We start from the raw sequence: 20,296 nt of genomic DNA on the forward strand, positions 1-20,296 counted from the left end.
TGAGTGTACTCAGGCAGACTGGTGTGGAGGTGGAGCTCATCTCTCTCCAAAGGAACCTTCCCAGTAAACCTCCGTAGGGAAAAGCATTCTTCTACCCTTAGCCTGTGGATTTGATTCCCTTCCCTCACAGGCAGGGCTTCAGGATTCCTTCTGGTGTACCTGTCTTCTATTCCCCCAGCCATCAGTGAAGGAGGACCACAAAGAATTTAACCAGCTCTGAAATTAGACCGAGGCAGCTGCCATGTTGCCAGGTTACTTCCACAAACAACAAAACAAGCACCCCTATTGGGTAGCACAGGCCTGTTGGAAATGCTGGAGCCCGCAAGAATGTTGTTTCCTGATCCCCTCCCCTGCTGAGAAGCCTCTGAGTGCCAGGGACCAGCTCAGGGCTCACCTCGCTGGAATACAGGCTGGTTAACATCAGAGCCTGGGACTCAGAGGAGGCTCCCTTTCATGTTTTTACCCTCAAAGCCTCCCTCCCAGCCCACTTGGAAGGCTGGGTGAGCCTCTTGTCCCGGATCTTTTCCAGTTGACTCTCAGCACTCACCACACTTCCCACTAAGTCCATAGATTCCTCCACTACCCACTCCTCCTTTCTGCTGAAGGCAACTTGGGGTGATTTTTGTCATCTAGTCATTCAGCAGATGCTTACTGATTGCCTCCTGAGAGCCAGGTAATGTGAGGATCCCTGGACATGAAAACAAAAGCCACGGTTCTGGTCCGAAGACATCCACAGCCTGTTTGAACAGAGAGACAGCTTCACAAGGAGATGGTATGACGATAGGAGTATGACAGGAAGAGGGGAAGAGCATCTAGCCTGGTGGAGGGGTTGCCAGACTGAGCTCTCTAGGAGGCCGTGTGAGATGTTGCCACCTGAACAGGGAGAAGTGGGTGCAAGAACCCAAAGTTCCATCACCAGCAGCTGATTTAAAATGGCTGTGGCTTCGGGGGCAAACAGGGGAAGAGTAAGGCATGAAGCCCCGTCCTGCTAAGGCGTTGGTTTGATTCTCCAGCAATCAGAAGATGTTGGAGAATCCTATTCACAGGAATACTTGGTAGATTCGCAGTTTGAAGAGTCCCCACCATGGGCACATGGATTGCAGGAGGCTAGAGGACCAGGAAAGGCAATTGCGGGTGTCCCTGTGAGAAGCGAAGAGGGGGTGACTGCAGCAGAGGCAGCGGATTGGCAGTGAGGCTGGAAGGAGGGTAAAGCAGGCTTTATCACAGAGCATTGAGGTTTGCAAGAAGAGTGGCAGATTTGTAGGTGAGAGGTGGTTGGTCGGGCTTTGACAAGTTGCATTTGTGAAGTCCATTTGCCCTGAGCAGCAGCTAGCTAGCTCAAGGGGGAGATGTGTCCAGACGTGGAAGAGAAAGGGTGGAGTCTGTGGCCCCCGAGCCTGTAACCACACAGCATGAACGGCAGGTCCCTAAGATGCTCTGCAGGACAGTGTCCACCGTGGGAGGCAGTCACCTATCCTTCATCCTGACTCAGTGCTTTCATTCCCATCACCTGAGCCTGATTGGTCTCTTTTGTGGTCCCGCAGCCGTTCCTGCGGTCTCCAGCTTTCCCACTTCTCCCGCCCTCCCCATCCCGCAGCGGCTCAGGAGGGACTCCAGCTGGGTTCTGAATTCCACCCTCCATCCTCACCACTCAGCCTGACTGGAGCTGGCCACCGCTGCTGCTTTGGGATGGGGGTGTGCTTCAGACAGTCAGAGAAGAAACCCTGAGTAATGCTGACATTGATGGGCCACGCAGACTATGATCAGCTCCGGGAATGTCTGTGAAGGAGCAGCCAGGGGACAGGGCTGGCCTGGGGGGATCTGCATCCACACTTCCTGCAGTCGTAGTAATTCTCAGTGATTTCTGCATATAGATTGGTCTAGAAAGTCTAAAAATAGTCTTTACCGTCAAAACTAACTCTCTGCATGTTTATACCTTGGCTTGGGTGAACTCGTTTCAGTTTACCTGTTTCAACGCCTAGCACAATGCCCAGCATATAGTAAACCCTATACACTTGTTGAAAAAAAATAAACAAAAGTCACGGGATGCCGTACCCTCCCATAATCGTAATGACGGGAGGCCTGTGGTGGCAGCCTTTCTGCATCATGGGTCTGTGCAGTGGCCTCTCCTGAAGTGCAGCTGGAGTTCTCAAATGTTCCCAGTTTTACATGTTTGCAAGACATTCTGGGAAGTGAATTCTCACCTTCGCAAAACTCTCCTCACAGATTGTAGTCACACCATTTGTTCCGACAGCAATTTATCTGACACTAACTGGATGTCCTACTATTCAGTTCAATTCAGACACTGACTACCTGGAGTTAGTGTAGACCCTGCAAGTTAAGAGTGCAATACTGCGAGACTGCCTCCCATTTCAGACTAGAGCTGCAAGTTTCTGGTATCCCCAAGTTATCTGCATTTCTGCCCAACAGACTACAAATTTGGGGTCTCCTATGACCTCTCCTCAAATTCAGTAATTCACTAGAATGGACTCACAGAACTCAGGAAAGCACTGTACTGTCAAAGGAAGGAATTATGATTACTGTCAAAGGAAGGAATTACAACAAATTTATTTTTAAATATTCTTTAGAGACAGTATCTCACTCTGTTACCCAAGCGAGAGTGCAGTGGTACAATCATAGCTCACTGCAGCCCCAAACTCACCAGGCTCAAGCGATCTTCCCATCTCAGTAGCTCCTGAGTAGCTGAGTCCACAAGCACACACCATCACACCTGGCTAATTTTTCCTATTTTTTGTAGAGATAGGGCCTTGCTATGCTGCTGATGCTGGTCATGAACTCCTGATCTGGAGCGATGCTCCTGCCTTGACCTCCCAAAGTGCTGGGATTACAGGCGTGAGCCACTGTGCATGGCCCAAATTTAGTTTAAAGATCTCAATTGGGCCAGGCGCAGTGGCTCACACCTGTAATCCCAGCACTTTGGGAGACTGAGGCGGGTGGATCACGAGGTCAGGAGATCAAGACCATCCTGGCTAACATGGTGAAACCCCGTCTCTACTGAAAATACAAAAAGTTAGCCGAGCGTGGTGGCAGGCGCCTGTAGTCCCAGCTATTCCGGAGGCTGAGGCAGGAGAATGGCGTGAACCCGGGAGGCAGAGCTTGCAGTGAGCCGAGATGGCGCCACTGCACTCCAGCCTGGGCGATAGAGTGAGACTCTGTCTCAAAAAAAAAAAAAAAAAAAAATCTCAATTGGCTTTATTCATGATTCTAGAACTGGCAACAAATCATTCCATAAAATAGAATAAGTGTTCCCATGGGCTGAGCAGAGGGGATTGGCTTTATAGACAGAGAAGGGCTGAAGAAAGCAGGAACAAGGAACAGTAGCCTGCTAGTCGTTTCAAAGATACTTTTCTTGGGGGACAGGCAGAGGGAGGGACGGGGAAACAGAACGATGGAATATCAGATGAGTTAACATGTCATGTAAGGATTAAAGCCAAGGGAACTGCATTCCATGGCTACTGAAGATTTCAGCTGGCCTATTTGGGAAATTGGCTGTTACCTCTTGTGACTTCTCAGAAGGTCAGATAACTACTTAGTTTGGGTTTGGTGAAGGGGAACTTAAGCATGGGTGACTACTTTTATTTTCAGTCTGGTCTCATGGGGCCTAATGCAGGAGCTTAGGCCCGAAACAAAGGCCTCCTATAATATTAATTTGACATACAGTTCTGTTGTTATGGACACAACTCAGGAGTAGCTAAATGGAAGAGATAGTGAGGGCGAGGGGTGGGAGTGGGACAAGGAGCTTCCAGCCTCTCAGGGGTAGCACTCCCAGCACACCAGTGTGCTCAGCAGCCCGGACCCTCTCAAGCCTTGTGTTCAATAGTTCGTATTGAGGCTTCATTACTTAGATGACTAATGAAGATTGATTAAATCTCCAGCCCCAGAGGCTGGCGTTGGGGCTGAAAGATTCAACCCTCTAACCATGTGGTTGATTCCTCCAGCAACCAGGCTCATCCTGAAGAGGCCACAGGATGGTCTAGGGCCACACGCTATCAAACTCAGTCATGGCTGAAGGGGCTCTTCAAGAATACCAGAAGACACTCCTATCACCCAGGAAACTCTGAGGGTTTGGGGAGAACTGTGCCGGGAACCAGGGCAAAGACCGAATCTGTATTTTTTTATTATGCCACAGTAATGGGAGCATATTTTGGCAGACTCAAGAGTGATTGGTCGTTCTAATCTTAGTTCACATTGGAGGGACTTTCACTGGCCCTCCAGATTCTTCCTGTAAGCACCTGTTCTTTAGGAGGATGGAGTAGGCTCCTGCCCCGCCCCACCCCAACTGCAGTGCATGTGACAGTTTGAAACACTTTGAGCCCCACATGTGTCTGTCAAGATGGAAATAACAGCCTCTGGCATGTGGTGCTGGTGGGTGCTTGTGCCATTGCAGCCCTGTAGGAGTGAGGTGGACAGAGTCACGGGTTTGGGTTAAGCCCTGTCTCACCTCTCATTAGGCATGTCACTTCGGCAGGCCGATGATTTAATGAGACTCACCTCTAGCCATGGAAGGAGTCTGAGGGTGTGCTTTTCTTATCTTCCCATCTCCATATTTATGTTGTAGACTGTGAAGGAATTAGCCTCTTGGCCATGGTCATCCTAAGGATGGAGATGTTGGGCTGTGGTACATGATAACTGTTCTTTTGTAAGCCTAGTGAACCTGTGCCGCTCCTTCTTGTCCTGCAGTTGGACTGATTAGAGGGGCTGAGGAAGTGCTTCACCTGTGAATGTGATTTCCTCTCACCTGCGGGCCCAGAGGCATCCTTGCTTGCCAGGTGCTCCTCACCCCACCCCCAGTAGGGTAGCAGGTGACATCTCCTCCTGCACCCCATTGTGGGCAGAGATGAGCCCCACCCTTTATCTGTGCTTTGATAAAGACTTCAGGAAGAGGCTGGGCGCAGTGGTGCAAGCCTGTAATCCCAGCACTTTGGGAGGCTGAGGCAGGCGGATTACTTGAGGCCAAGAGTTCAAGACCAGACTGGGCAACGTGGCGAAACCCCGTCTTTACCAAAAAATACAAAAATTAGCCAGGTGTGGTGGTGCGCACCTGTAATCCCACCTACTCAGGAGGCTGAGGCACAAGAATTGCTTGAACCCGGGAGGCGGAGGTTGCAGTGAGCCGAGATCATGCCACTGCACTCCAGCCTGGGCGACAGAGCAAGACACTGTCAAAAAAAAAAAAAAAAAAAAAACTTCAGGAGGAAGTAAAAAACAAGGTATCATGCCAAACTGCACAGAGAAAAGCACTTTTCTGTAATCTTTCAAATATAAAATTCTGTTGCCAGAAAAACTCCAGCATAATCCCTGTGACAGGCCTGGGTCTTGTCTGTTACAAACAAGAGAGTGAATGTCGGGGTGTACTTTTCCCTGCAGTTTGGAAGCACAGGTGCCCACTGACTTGGCTCCAGGGACATATTTCTTTTGGCTGAGAGGCTGGGGCCATCGCCTTTAACATGGTAGACCCTAGTCAGGCGCTTTTCCAGCTAGGACTGAAGGGTCTTCCCCGCATATGGTTTGAGTCCCATAGGAATTTGAATGCCAAAGTAGAATTTCCTTGGTAACTTTAAACCTCTTGAAGCCATTTACAGGCTCTGGGGCAGGTGGAGGAAGGGGCGGGGAGGTGGGCGCTCTCCCATCACTCTCTGTCCCTGTTTTGATTTTGTGTCTTCCTTCTCTTTTCCAATAGCAATCCTTCTGGTCGAGGATTGTGATACTCTTGCCTGCAGCATTAGAGGAGCTTCCAGATTCTTCTCCTCACCTCCATCCATTCTATGCACCATTTTTTCCTAGACTGTGGAGCTGACCCTGTCACTTCCTGTCCTTCAGTGGCCTCTGGGTATAGACAGACATGGTGTGCCTCCCTCTCTCAGCTCCAACCTCTCTGACATTCTCTCCATTCGGGCCCGTGTCATTCATTTGCAAATCCGCCATAACATCCCCAGCAGTGCTGGGTGCAGAATCAACTTTTAATAATCTCCGGGAATGTGTGCACTCTCCTGTCTCTGGGCCTCTGCTCAGGCTGTCCCATCCCAGAGTCTGACCTGCATTTGCCTAGCCTTCATGGCCACACTTAAGGTGACCACCTCTGGGCATCTTCCTGGGGTCTATTGAACAGAACACATCACTTCCTGCCCCTCTGCTCCTGAAGCACTTTATGTCGCAGTGTTGTGGATTAGAGTGCCCCTGGATGAGCCCTGTTTGTCTGTGTTCTAAAGCACAGGTGCCAGAAGGCAGAACCTGTGTTTTCTCTGGCCCCTGGGAGAGGGACTGGCATGCAGCAGCTGCTGGAGAATAGGAACTGCATCTTTTTTATCTTTGGATCCACCACAGCATTTTCACATTGAAAAGAGGTCAGTAGGTTTTTTTAGGGTGGTATGGCCGTAGACCCCATCCAAGTACTAGCCAGGCCTGACCCTGCCTAGCTTCCAAGATCAGATGAAATCAGGTGCGTTCAGGTGAGTTTTGTTTTGTTTTGTTTTGTTTTGTTTTGTTTTGTTTTGTTTTGTTTGAGACGGAGTCTTGCTCTGTCACCCAGGCTGGAGTGCAGTGGTGTAATCTCGGCTCACTGCAAGCTCTGCTTCCTGGGTTCACGCCATTCTCCTGCCTCAGCCTCCCGAGGAGATTTTTTTAATTGTTCATTTAAATAGAGTTCATGCCCTAAAACCTTTGCGAGAACATCCTTTTACAGATGAAAGTCCAGATATGCCATCCTGTATTGTAGCCATGGTCGGTATAACCATGCTCGTTTCCAAACTGTCACAGCACATTGCATATTTTCTCTGATTTGTGAAAGATAATATGTAAAAAGTTTCACAAAAGCATGTGTGCACAAACATACTAACAGAGGTTTGGTGTTTTTTAATATTGAGTCATGTAATGGGGAAAAAAGTTGAAATCAGCTGTAGCTCTGAAAGCTGAAATGTGTACTGCCATATTTGTCATGGTTTTCCCTGCTGTTCTGGAATTCTTCTGTGGGAGCAGGAACACTATTTTATATATGCATATCTTCTCTTCATGAATGCCAGAGACTGGGTTTTAAACTTTAAAAAGTCTCACTCATACTAGGTGTCCATTCTTGCTGAGTGATTGAATTATTATTCTACAAGAAGATAAAGGAGCTGTTGCCGCACAAGCTGTCTGGTCTTTTGGGTGATTTGTATTTTACAAACAAACATTCATTTCCTGTCTACATTTGACCTCTTTTCCAGGGAGGTTCCCCTGAAGGATGCTAAGGAATACGCTGAATCCATAGGTGCCATCGTGGTTGAGACAAGTGCAAAAAATGCTATTAATATCGAAGAGCTCTTTCAAGGAATCAGTAAGTACCTGAAATTGGGTTTTCAGCCCAACTTGCATTTTTATGCTTCTGGGAGTCAAAGGATAACATTTTAGAACTCTGAAGTGAACTTTTCCTCTGTGTGAATTTATCGGATGCCATGGATACAAAATCTACAGCTATGCAGTTGTTAATACCCACTTCTATTATCCTCTCGATTCTAGATTTCCATGATTCTGTACTGGAACCTGTTCACTCTGAGTTCTGTAAATTAAAATGAAGTAATCCTGTTGCAAAAATAAAATTTATTTTAATTGAAAATTATGCATTCTGTAGCATTTTATGTTAGGAGGAGAGAGAAAATAGACAAGGTATAGAACTCAAGGTCACCCATTAGATGGGATGACTCTAGGTAAACTGAGGGAACCTTCCAGTAACTTTTTTTGCCTGATCATCTCCTACAAAAAGTAATGTCTCCATCCTGTTTGACCTGAAATTGGGAATTGGATACAGGGTTGGCGTGTACAGGTACCCCATGTGTCTGGTGAGCTAATTAGGGAGGGTGACAGCCTCCTTCCTGGTCCCAGTGCTGGGTCCCGTTATGCTCACTGTATGCCGGCTCCCCGGGAATAACCTTATCAACCAGAGCTGGTTCCCAGCTAATGGCTCTGCCAACACATCTATCTGCAGCTGTGAGGCTTCCAGCTCAACAGATTTAACCTTCATAAGTTCTCTGGTTGTGTCATTCTGTTCCGGATTCTGCCAGAGAAGTCCCTGCTGACAGCCATCTGGGAAAACTGCTCTGAGACACCCTCAGGAAAGTTCGACCGGAGCATTATCAGGGACGTTGGGAGAAGTACAGGTGTTTGATGAAATACTGGCCCTGAAGTTCCTGGAATAGCCACCTTAGGAGGAGTTGAACCCCAAAACAGTAATTGTCCTCAAATATCTTAGCTCCAGACAACTCCAGAAGGGAAACTGATGGTTTGATCTCTTTCCTGCCTGAGATCGTTTTTGGCAGAGCTCTCAAAGTCAGAGAAGCCGTGGCTTCCCAGAACAGTTTTGATTTCTGTTTAACTGGTTTGAGTGCATTACTTTAGACTCCAAGAACCCACAGGAGGGAATCTTTTGTTTATGTTGGCTTGATGGAGAATTCATTGGAGATGGGGAATTCTGACCTGTCTTACCTACACTATGCAGAGATATGCAAAAGAAATGTGCAAAAGAATGGCTTGGAGCCTCCCCTCCCCAGCTGCTGGCCCTTTCCTTCACTGGGGTCTTCACTCTCTTCCCTTCTTTCCACCTTCCCTTTCTTTCCTCCTTTGATTTCTTACTCTCAACAGAATGGTTTCAGGCTCCTTGCCCTGAATGGCTGAACTCTAGCAGGCTGGGGCTGGAATTTCATGTGGGAAACCCCATGTCCCCACATTCCTCTCCCTTCTCCATCATGGTCAGTGGGTGCAGATGCTCTCTGGTGTTGTGTCACTCTGGGTGACATCTAAGTTTGGGCTCGAACTCATTACATTAGCCTCACATTTCCTCAGATTAAACTCATTCTCTTCTGGTGGCGTTAGGCTCTTCTGCTATGCTCAGCTATGAAACATTTTGTTTTTACAGGTGGTTTTAATGAATGAAGCTAGATAGCTCCTGAGGACGATTGCCTTAGCACCTTCCATCCTTACAGCCCCGCGTCTTCCGCAGAGCCCCCTCCTCCTCCTTAGCTCCCTGGCCTTGGAAGACCCCCAGCACAGATATCAGTGGTCAGCCAGGGGAGCCTGGTGCCTTGTATGACCTGAACTTGAGCTTGAGATCTCTGCACCAGCTGGGAAGCTTTCTGAAGTTTATGAAAGTCATTGTTAAAATTTAAAAATATCAAATAAGGACCTGAAAGAGAAGAAGCCTGAGTAGGAAGTACTGTACTAATATCTTTTTTCTTTTTTTTTCTGAGACAGAGTCTTTGTTGCTCAGGCTGGAGTGCAGTAGTGCAATCATAGCTCGCTGCAGCCTCCACCTCCTGGGCTCAAGCAATCCTCCGACCTCAGCCACCTGGGTAGCTGGGACTATAGGTGTGCACCACCACACTCAGCTAAATTTTTGGATTTTTAGTAGAATCAAGGTCTCGCCATGTTGCCTAGGCTGGTCTCAATCTCCTGAGCTCAAGCAATCTTCCCCCATCGGCCTCCCAAAGTGCCAGGATTACAGGTGTGAGCCACCACACATGGCTTGTAGTAATAACTTAAAAGACATTTATCCAGTATAAATCCCTTCCTGTGTGTGACAGGGACTTTGAACAGGTTAATTCCTCAGATCTTGGTGGTCTACTTTATGAAAAAACAAGTGCTTTGCTCAAACATGGGTAATTATGGTTTCAAAGTAATTAATTCCTATATAAGCCATCAAATACCCATATCACCTCATCTTTCATGTCACATAAACAATTGTTTGTTTCTGTTTTATTATACTTTGGTTGTAACTGCCTTGACAAAGAAAGCTTGTAAATACACAGCCATGGCAAAACCTCAGTCTGTCCATCTGTCTGGCTATCCATCTGTCTGTCTATCCATCTTTCCCTCCATCTGTCTGTCCATCTGTCCACTTGGCTGTCTATCTGTCCATCTGCCTGTCTGTCTCTGTCTGTCCTTCTGTCCATCTGTGTGTATATCCATCTTTCTAGCTGTCCATCTGTCTATCCATCTGTCCGTCTATCTATCTATTCATCTGTACATCTGTCTGTCTAGTCATCTGTCTATCTAGCCATCCGTCTGTCTGTCCATCTGTCCATCTGTCCGCCTGTCTATCTGCATGTGTAAGCACTGGATCTTTTGCCTCTTTTCTCCTTCATGTGAATTTCTTCAGAATGGAGTTCTGTAGCCTAATTGCAGGTTAATTTAAAACACAATTCCAAGTACACCTAAATATACTGCAGCAGACTTTTCATTTATTTTTCTTTTCCCTGTTCCTACTTACATTACATGTGCTCCTCCCTGAGCTTAAAATAGAACTACATATTGCTGACACCTAGGCTCCCCAAAGCAATGTTCCACAGTCGACTATGCCTGGAGAAAAAATGCAATAAAAAGTTAAGGAGCTGTGAAAATAAAAGCCCTTTAAAAAGGTGTGTTTAAACAAAATGAATTCACATTGACTCGGATGAAGAGATGAATGTTTCTCTTTTACAGTCCCATAGTGTTCATAAACCAGAAATGGGACAACTGTGTTTTCTGAACATTGGCAAATACAGTGTCTAACTGGAGACTGCTTACAAAAATATGTTATCTTTTTAAAGACTGAAGCTACCCTGTAAAGGATTTAGGTGCTGCTCTGTTTGGGGTGGTCTGTGCAGTTTGTCCTCCTCATATAATATATTGTCGTCTGATTGGTATTCCTCCAGGCACCCTTTTCTAAATCACATTTTTAGACCTACTTTGTCTGCCTGCATGTGGCTAATTCTCTTCCATGCATTTCTACCCAGGGTTTGTTTATTTTTTTTTCCTTGGGTTCTTACACCCAAGGAAGAAAAGTAAAAACTTGAGGTTACTTTTGGTTTGTTCTGCCATTTTGACACTTAAACATATTTTATCTTTAATTGATTCTCCAAGCGTTTAGGTATGTGCCTGTTCTTCTAGGGAGATTGCAAGTTCTTTGGGAGCTTGTCTTTTGTATTACCCATGAAGCTGAGACTAATAAATGGAATGGTGCTGAATTCGGGGCTTTGAATTTGGATCTCCGTCCTCATCTCATGATATAAAGTGAAATGTAATCACTTTTCTCTGGGAATTTAAGGTTGAAGAACAGCAAATTAGACAAGCCTACTTACTCTTGATTCGTTTATTCACAAATATATACTGTACTCTTTTATGGGTAGGTGCCATGCTAGACCCTGGGGACAGCACGGTGACAAGGCGCAGTGACAGTGGAGTCGGGGAGACAGCTGTGGGCACAGTCAGATCGGTGTCTGGTGACTCTTGGTAATTGGTGCTGCGCGGCGAAGGAGTGGACTGTGAGAGGTTACTATGGGGCGAGGGAGTGGCTTTAGATTGGGTGAGGAAGGCCTCCCCGGGGAAATGATTTTAAGCTGGACCTGAAAAACGAGAAAAGGCCAGTGGGCAAAGAGCTATCAGGCAGAGCAAACCGCAGGAGCCAAGTCCCAAGGCAGGAAATGTCGTGGTGCTTTTAAGGAAGAGCAAGGAGTGCTGTGGGAAGTTGTGGTTAGAGACTCAGCAGGGCCTTGCCATGGGAGTAAGGGTGATACTCTGAAACAATTGGAAGCCCCTCAAGCTTTTAAAGCAGGAGTGCAGAGTGTCCAATTTACATTTACAAAAAAAGATCACACTTAAAAGGAGGAAAGTCTCCGCATGTCTCAATCAGTTGGCATGCGATTGTAATAATCCAGGAGAGAAGTGGCTTGGACGAGGGTGGAGGAAGTGGAGCTGGATTTCAGAAATCTTCCAGAAGAACCAATAACACTGGAAGGAGATGGGGAATGAGGAAGACAGCGTTACCAAGAGTCATCCCCAAGTTCTGTTTGCCGGAATGAGGAGGATTGGCATAGGAACAAGTGATCTGGGCTGGATTTGGTTATGAGCCTAGCATATAGGATTCTGGATTGTGGTGAACCCAAGTTTTGGTTTGTAGATTATTATTATTTTTTTATTTTTAGAGATGAGGTCTCGCTGTATTGTCCAGGCTGGTCTTGAACTCCTGGGCTCAAGTGGTCCTCCCGCCTTGGCTTCCCAAAGTGCTGGGATTACAGGTATGTGCCACCATGGCCAGCTGGTTTGTGGATTTTAATTACTTAACTCGAATATCTCTTTAAAAGTATTTTAACTTTTCCTGAGGGCAAAGAGAGGTGGAGCTGCAGGCTCAGCAGAAAAATGTCTGGATTGGGGTGGAACCCAGCAAAATAGCTATGCATTTTGCTCCAGTTAATTTAAGTGTTGACTGTGGCAGAGAAAGCAGGACTTTCTCCTGAAAATTACACTTGGAGACACTAGAGACATTAGACCAGGTTTTATATTTGTTGTTAGTTTGAGAGCAAGGTGAGAAACATTTGTTTTATTAAGGTGAATATATGGGCATGGCGGTGTGCACCTGTAGTCCCAGCTACTCTGGAGACTGAGGCAGGAGGATCACTTGGGCCCAGGAGTTTGAGGCTGCAGTGAGCTATGACTGTGCCACCGCCCTGCAGCCTGGGCAACAGAACGAGATCCTATCTCTAAAATAAATAAATAAATAAATAAATAAGGTAAATATATTTAGAGGTACAAGCATATTGGCTTGGAAAATTGGAATGGGGTGTTAATATGAAAGACAACAAGTTAAGACTTGTGGGTAGTGATCATGTCTTGTTCTGGAAACATTTGTTCACAGAGTGTTGTGCTCTAGGCACCTTTAGTTAGTAGCAGGTTAAAGTAATTTTAAAGCAAAGCAAAAGGTTTGCAGATTTTATAATAGTCAGCAAGCTGTCAGGTGAAGGTAAGTTTAGCAGTTAAGGAACAAGGAAAGGACAAAGACAAAGTTTGTCCACTTTCTCACCCCAAAAAAAGTTAATTTACCAAATGCAATCCACTTAAGAAAGTGGACAGACTTTCTTACACCAAGAAAGTTAATTTAGTGAATGTAAAATAATGTCATTTCGGCATATGGGCAAGTTGGGTCTCAAAAGGCATGTCTTTTATTCCAGCAATTCTAAAGAAGAAATTCTTCAGGTGTGCAAACATAATAACAAGGTTTAATATGTACGGAGCTCTGATTCTGTGCTTTTGTTGCAATTGCTGAAATATATACTTAGCTCATTAATGCACCCTTGATCCTGTGAAGTAGGCTCTGTTATCATCCCTGTTTTACAGATGAGGAAATTGAGGCCTGGAGAGGCTTGTAACTTTCCCCAGGGCACACAGCTAATAAGTGAGAGACAGGCAGGCAGGCTCCGGGGCACATGCTCTTAGCTTGTCTATATCATGTCCCATTGCACAGCGTGGTTTATTGTAACATTATTCATGACAGCAGAAAACAGGAAATTACTGAACTGTCCAAAAGTTAGGAAATAGTTTTTAAGAAATCATGGTACACCCATATAAACAAGTGATTCAAAAGGATGACATAAATCTTTGTTTACTGACATAAAAAGATCAATCATTGAATGTGAAATGGAAGTTACAGAGCAGTTCATATAATATCCTTATTTCACAATATATCTCATATTTCATAATATTTCATAATCTATTTCAATATCATATTTCATATATTTCATAATATATTTCAATATCATATTTCATAATATATTTCAATATCATATTTCATATATTTCATAATATATTTCAATATATATAATGATAAATATTATTCCAAGAATATATCCTTCTTGGAAGGATACATATCAAAATGTTAACAGTGGTTGTTTCATGATGGTCAGATTCCAGGGAACTTAAAAAACACTTTATTATGTAAAATTTCAAACATATACACAAGTGCACTGAATAATATAGTGAACCATTGTATACTCAAAACCAAGCTTGTGCCATCTCTATCCCATCCTGTGCTCACCACCTGTATTATTTTGAAGAGAATCTCAGACATCTAATTTAATCTATAAATATTTTGTCCATAATTTTTTTAAACAATGACAACTATGTTATCATATTAATAACCAGAATGCTGTTATCATATTAATTACTATCATCAAATAAACAGTCAGTGGTCAAATTTCCAAAAAGTTCATAGTTGTCATAAATGGTTTCTTTGTTTGCATGTTACCATTTGTTTACATCAGAATGGAAATAATCTCCACATGCTGGGATTAGTTGGTATGTCTTTTAGGCCTCTCTTAAGCAATAGCTTTCCATTCCATCTTTCTTTTTTTCCCCTTATGCAATTTGTTTATCCAAGAAATTAGATCAGTTTTCCTGCAGAGTTTAAGACAATATGGATTTTGCTGAGTTCCTTTTTTTTTTTTCCTGAATAGTATTCCATTGCATGCATAAACCACAATTTATTAATCTATTCACCTAGCATTTGGATTGTTTTCAGTTTTGGGTGATAACCAGTAAAGGTGCTATGAGTATTCATTTACAAGTCTTTGTGTGTGTAAATACTATGGATTGGAATGGCTGTCTTATCTGGTAGGTGTGTTTTTAACTTTCTAAGATTAGAATGCCAAACTGTCTTCCAAGTGGTTTTACTACAGTATGTTACCACCACCAATGTGTGGGAGTTCCAGTTGCTCCAAGTCCTTGTCAACGCTTGGTACCGTCGGTTTGTAAAATATTAACCATTCGAAAGGAAGTATAGTGGTATCTCATTGTGATTTTTGTTTGCATTTTCCTAATGACTAGTAATGTTGAGTGTCTTTTCATGAGCTTGTTTTCAATTTGTATAACTTGGTGAAGAGCCTCTTCAAATTTTACCCATTTTGTAATGGGTCGTTTGTCTTCTTATTGTTGAGTTCTAAAGGTTACTTATATATTTTGGATACATATTTTTTATCAGATATTTGTTTTTCAATTATTTTCTCCCAAGCTGTGGCTTGTCTTCATTTTCTTGACAGTGTTGTTTGGAGAAAAGAGGTTTTTAATTATTGATGAAGTGTAGTTTGTCAGATTTTTTCCCTTTTGATTTGTGCTTTTTCTGTCTTATAATTTCTAAATGTTAAAATAAAAAAAATTAAAGGGATACATCCATATAATGGAATATTATAAGGGATAAAAAGAAAATGAGCTATCAAACCATAAAAAATGTGGAAGAACCTTAAATGCATATTGCTGAGTGAAAGGAGCCAATCTGAAAAGGCTACACACTGTATGACTCCAACTACATGACACTCTGGAGAAGACAAAATTGTGGAGTCAGTGAAAAGATCAGTGGTTGCTGTGGGCTGTCAGGGAAGGGATGAATTGGTGGGTCACAGGATTTTTAGGGCAGTGAAACTGTTCTGTCTGATACTATAAAGGAGGATACATGTTATTACATGTTTATCAAAACCCATAAAATATACAGTGCCAAAACGGAACCCTCCTGTGAACTATAGACTGACTATCCTTAATAGTAATGTCTTCAGCAAATGTTGGTTCATCAGTTGTTACAAATGTTCCACTAAACTAAGATGTTAAAAATGGGAGAAATTGAAGATGAGGAGAGGAAGGTATATGCCAATTCTCTATTTTTCACTCAATTTTTTTCCATAAACCAAAAACTGCTCAAAAAATAAATAAATAAAGTTTATCAATTAAAAAAAGAAAGAGAAAGGTGCCTTTGAGTGGTAGGGAAGCCTAATGATTTTTTTTAAGGTTTTCTTTTTTTCTTTTCTTTTCTTTTCTTTTTTTTTTTTTTTAACTTTAAATTCCAGGATACATATGCAGAACATGCGGGTTTGTTACACAGGTATACATATGCCATAGTGGTTTGCTGCACGTATCAACACGTCATCTAGGTTTTAAGCCCTGCATGCATTAGGTATTTGTCCTAATGCTCTCGCTCCCCCACCCCCAACCCCTCAACAGGTCCTGGTGTGTGATGTTCCCCTCCCTGTGTCCATGTGTTCTCATTGTTCAACTCCCACTTATGAGTGAGAACACGTGGTGTTTGGTTTTCTGTTCCTGTGTTAGTTTGCTGAGAACGTGGAGGGGAAGCCTAATGATTTTAAAGTAGCTTAAGTCTCTCCTTGTTGGACACCTCAGCATTTTGGAGCAATTGTGACCTCCCCTGATTCCCCTCGTGCAGGTGCATCACCACTTCTTTACCTCCCTAGACTTTTAACTTCAGGCTTTTTGGTCTCTGTCTTGACTCTCCCGCCTCCAGGCAGTTGTCACCTCCTGCCAAGCATCTTCCACAGTTTCCCTTTCCATCTGTGCTTCCTGCTTCCCCGTGGCACACTTAAGGCTCACCTAACCCCTGACCTGGGCTTTCCAGGCCTCCTGACCTAATGAGCTTCCCACCTGAGAATCCATTCCGGTCCTTTATAGCATGTAGCGCGTTCCTCTTTATCCTAATATTCAGGGCCTTCTAGTAATCCTAATATTGTCTTCTTTATGGCAGCAAGAGGACAGTGATAGGGAATAACTTCAAGTAGCATGTGTGTGTCCCCCAGTTCTGCATTATTAGGGCGATGTTCCATGATCGTGAGTCATTGCTGTGTTCCAGAGACCCCCTCTCTACATGGCTAGAGGCTAAAGGTCATTATCAAGAGTGAATACTGCCAAGTCCTAGCAAACTTGGTCAAGTTACTCATCTAGATGATTCAGAAAATCAAATCAAGAAATGGATGTTACACAGCAACTGCCAGCATTGCTAACACCAAACAAAAGATAACCAAGCCAAGTAAATACTGGAACTGGAATGAAAGGAGAGAAGAATTACATACAGTGGAATGGTTAGCGGGAGAATCAGCGCTTGCGCAGGAAATGGCTGGTCCACGGGGAAAGGGAACAGCCCCAGCTAAGCTTGCTGTTTTATTTTTGTTGTGTGTAAATGCATGACAGCCCAGTTCCGAGCCAGGATAAAACTTACAGGCTAGGAATTTGTTTTCACATACTGTGTTCCTGTGGAATCATTTCTAAAACCTGCGTTTCCTCTAGACTGTCAACTTTCAGGAAAACTGAACTTAAAAAAAAAAAAGTCTTTTAAACTTCTCCTAGACAGCATCTTACAAAATCCAAACCCTATTAAAATAAACACTCTGGCCTCAAATTTATGCTCAAGGACAACTTGTTCTGGAGGCTGACTACTTAGAGCACATTTTGTAAGAGTGGAAACCTACAGACTAGGCTCAGAGCCTTTTCAGATGTTTTTGTATATATTTTTGTCCTGCTCTATGCCTGTGTAAATAATACTGATTCAACAGAGTTCCAAGGTGATCACCTTGGTACAGAAAGCCATGGCCATTTTCCAAAACCATGCCTTTGTGTAAGTGCCTTGAACCTTCCGGTAAATTCTGAATACCTTAGGCCCTAAGATCGGGGTTTGCGTTCGGCGTTTGCTTTCTTGTTTTGCGTTCTGGTTTCCTGGTGCAGGCTCCCTTCTCCTTTTAAAGGTGCCGGCCTCATTGTTATGATCTGGCTTTTCTCTTTCTCTGCGTGGAAGCATTTCCTTCTCCCTGTGTTTAAGGTTGGCATGTGTGTGACTTATCCCAGGCTGAGAGTTTTGTAGATGAGATGGGTCCCGGTCCACTAACTGAACCCTGAGAATTGACCGTGACCATGAATCACACAGCATTTCTCCCCGCCATGCAAAACCCATGAGCCGTGCCCAGAAGCCCTCAACTGCTGGGGACTCCCTCCATCATCATTTGTTCCTCCCCTTTTAGTGACGGCTGTGTGTGTTCCTTTCCCACATTCGTTCTATAGGTGAACAAAGGAAGGCTCGGAGGTTTTAAATAACTGGTCCAAGTTCATTGAACTGGAATGCTGACTCTCTCACATCTCAAAACTCTTCCTACCAAAGGAGAAAAATGAAGTCTGAGAAATATTTTACTCTAATAAGTGAAATTTTGAATATTCTGAAGATAAAAGAACCTGGCACTCCTAAGAAGCCATGTTCAACAGCTGATTCAAGAGTGCTGCTAAGAGTTCAAAACATGCAGGAGGGGAGTCTTCTTGAGACAGAGCCAGGCCTTCCTCAATTTTGCATTCTGTGCATCAGTGCTCATTGTTGACTGGGGAGAGAAATGAGAAGCAGCAAAGAGGAAGGAGGTGGCGGAAAGCGGGGAAAGGTGTGGACAGACCTTCCTGGCATCCTACTTTGCTATCTGTACGCTCTTCCTTTCTAGATTTTCATTATACTTTTGTCACTTTAATAACTGTCTTACATATAAACTTTTTCTTTAATTTGTGTACTTTCCAAAGCAAAAAACTTATGAAAACAAGACATGAGGGAAATAAAGTCATGGAGGGCTAAAAAGCTAATGCTGTTCTGCTAACATTAGGATTAGCATAAGGACAGCACAAAGTTTTGATGTTAACATAGAATTTGATTTTGATACAGTGAAAAATGCTAAAATGTCAACTCCTTTTACTGATAAGTAAACAGCTCTTGGCTAACTAGGGCAACAGCTGTACCCATGAGAATTATAGTACTGTCCAAAAATATTTCAGGTGCAAAAGCAAAAGTCCTGATTGCAGTGTGTAACACACTCAGGAGGCTCCTGAAATATTACTAACTTCAATAATGATGTAACTCGACACTGTCACCCCTTTCTCTTCAGGAGTAAGTAACTCTTTATTGGCAAGATCTGACTTGGCTAGATCTTTAAAGAGTACTGGTAGTCATTGGAGACTTCCTTCTCTATTTATCACTTAAGGTTGACCAAGTAGAAGAGGCATTTTGTTTACTCCCTTTTAATTGTGATAAATTTAAAAGAATAGCATGTCCAGAAAAGGAAAATTCATACTTATGGTCTCCTTTCCTCCTGGATTGGGACTGAAGTTTTTGGAGATGTCCTGCAAAAGCTCTGTAGATCTCTGTTGGCTACACAAAATGGCAAAAGCCACAGCTGCAGAAATTGTTGCAAACTTTTCATTTGCTTCATCATCAAATGAAGATCTCTACTATTACTTTTGAGTTTGGAGTTAAATGCTGGTGACCTTCATCTTTATGCTGAAGCTTTGGTGACTGTCTATACCATCTGATCTACACAATGTATTATTACCTTTGAAATCAACTCTTTTTGTCCCTTGTGGAAATGCACCTCTGCTGGGGTGTTTTGGTGCTCTATATTGTCATTAGGTAACACCCACTTGCATTAAAAGACTTTGTCAGGGCCCAGCGCATAGTCAGTATTCCGTGCTATCAGTGTGTGTTCAGATTCTCCTCTTACTGGTTTTCTTAGACTGTACTGTTTTCTAAGCAAATGCCCATGTGTGATTTTTAAGATGTGCTGGGGAAAAATAAATCAATACCACAACCAAAAAAAAAAAAGACTTTGTCTTTAGAACCAATTTCCCTTCCACTTCTAATTACTGGTTCCTTAGCAAATGAATACACTAACTAGCCAATAATATAGATAGATAGATAGATAGATAGATAGATAGATAGATAGATAGATGATAGATAGATAGATAGATAGATAGATAGATAGATAGATAGATATAGATATTCATTTTAGCCTAGGCCTGGTGGCTCATACCTGTAATCTCAGCACTTTAGGAGACCAAGGTGAGAGGATCACTTGAGGCCAGGAGTTTGAGACCAGCCTGGGCAACATAGCAAGACCCTATCTCTACAAAAAAAAAAAAAAATTTATCGGGGCATGGTGGCGCACACCTATAGTCCCAGCTACTCAGAAGGTTGAGGTGGGAGGATCCCTTTAGCCCCGGAATTCGAGGTTGCAGTAAGCCATGATCAAGCCACTGCACTTCAGCCTGGGTGACAGAGTGAGACCCTGTCTCAAGAATAAAACAAAATCCTCATTTTAGAGCTAGTGTTTCATGCCTTTTTCAAGGGGCATAGAAAAGTAGCAAAGAGACCTAATGTGGTTCAGTGGGAAGAGCACAGGCCTTGCGACCCATCAGGAAGTCAAGGTGTAGATTATAATCAAAGCACCAGCTGTACTACTGCCTGTTATTGATGGGACCTTCAGCAAAGTGCTCAAGTTCTCGAGTCACAGTGAAATGGTGATAATAACGACCATTACATCAAATTCACAGGGCGAGGTGAGGATGGTGTTTGTGAAAATCTTTGAAAACTGGGAGCTACTAAGGTTATTTCCAGATTCCATTGCCTTTTTTCAGAAAACAACTTTATTGAGATAAAATTCACATACCATACATTTCACCCATTTCAAATGTACAATTCGGTGGTGTTGGTATATTCACAGATCTGTGCAGCCATCAGCACAGTCAATTTTAGAAAAATCACCTCATAAAGAAACCCATACCCTTTAGCTGTCATCTCCCTGGCCCCTTCCATTGCCTGTTTAATTTTGATTTTGTGTTTATTTATAGAGACTTTCTGATAATTTTTAAAATTAAGTTAAGTAAAAATAAGATTACTTGTGGATGACATTAAAATACT

The 20,296-nt window shown here is 43.4% G+C and overlaps 1 protein-coding gene and 1 pseudogene across 1 annotated transcript in view; one reads left to right on the plus strand and one right to left on the minus strand.

Moving 5' to 3' along the window:
- Nucleotides 1–20,296, plus strand: part of RAB31 (RAB31, member RAS oncogene family) — a 154,251-nt gene that overhangs the window by 130,058 nt on the left and 3,897 nt on the right. The window contains exon 6 of the mRNA NM_006868.4: nt 7,224–7,333. Coding sequence (NP_006859.2) covers nt 7,224–7,333 — 110 coding nt within the window. The remainder of the gene's footprint in view (nt 1–7,223; nt 7,334–20,296) is intronic.
- RNA5SP449 (RNA, 5S ribosomal pseudogene 449) lies at nt 6,359–6,488 on the minus strand (annotated as a pseudogene).

This window comes from Homo sapiens, chromosome 18, assembly GCF_000001405.40.
Source record: "Homo sapiens chromosome 18, GRCh38.p14 Primary Assembly".
In the NCBI taxonomy this organism is placed as follows: domain Eukaryota; kingdom Metazoa; phylum Chordata; class Mammalia; order Primates; family Hominidae; genus Homo; species Homo sapiens.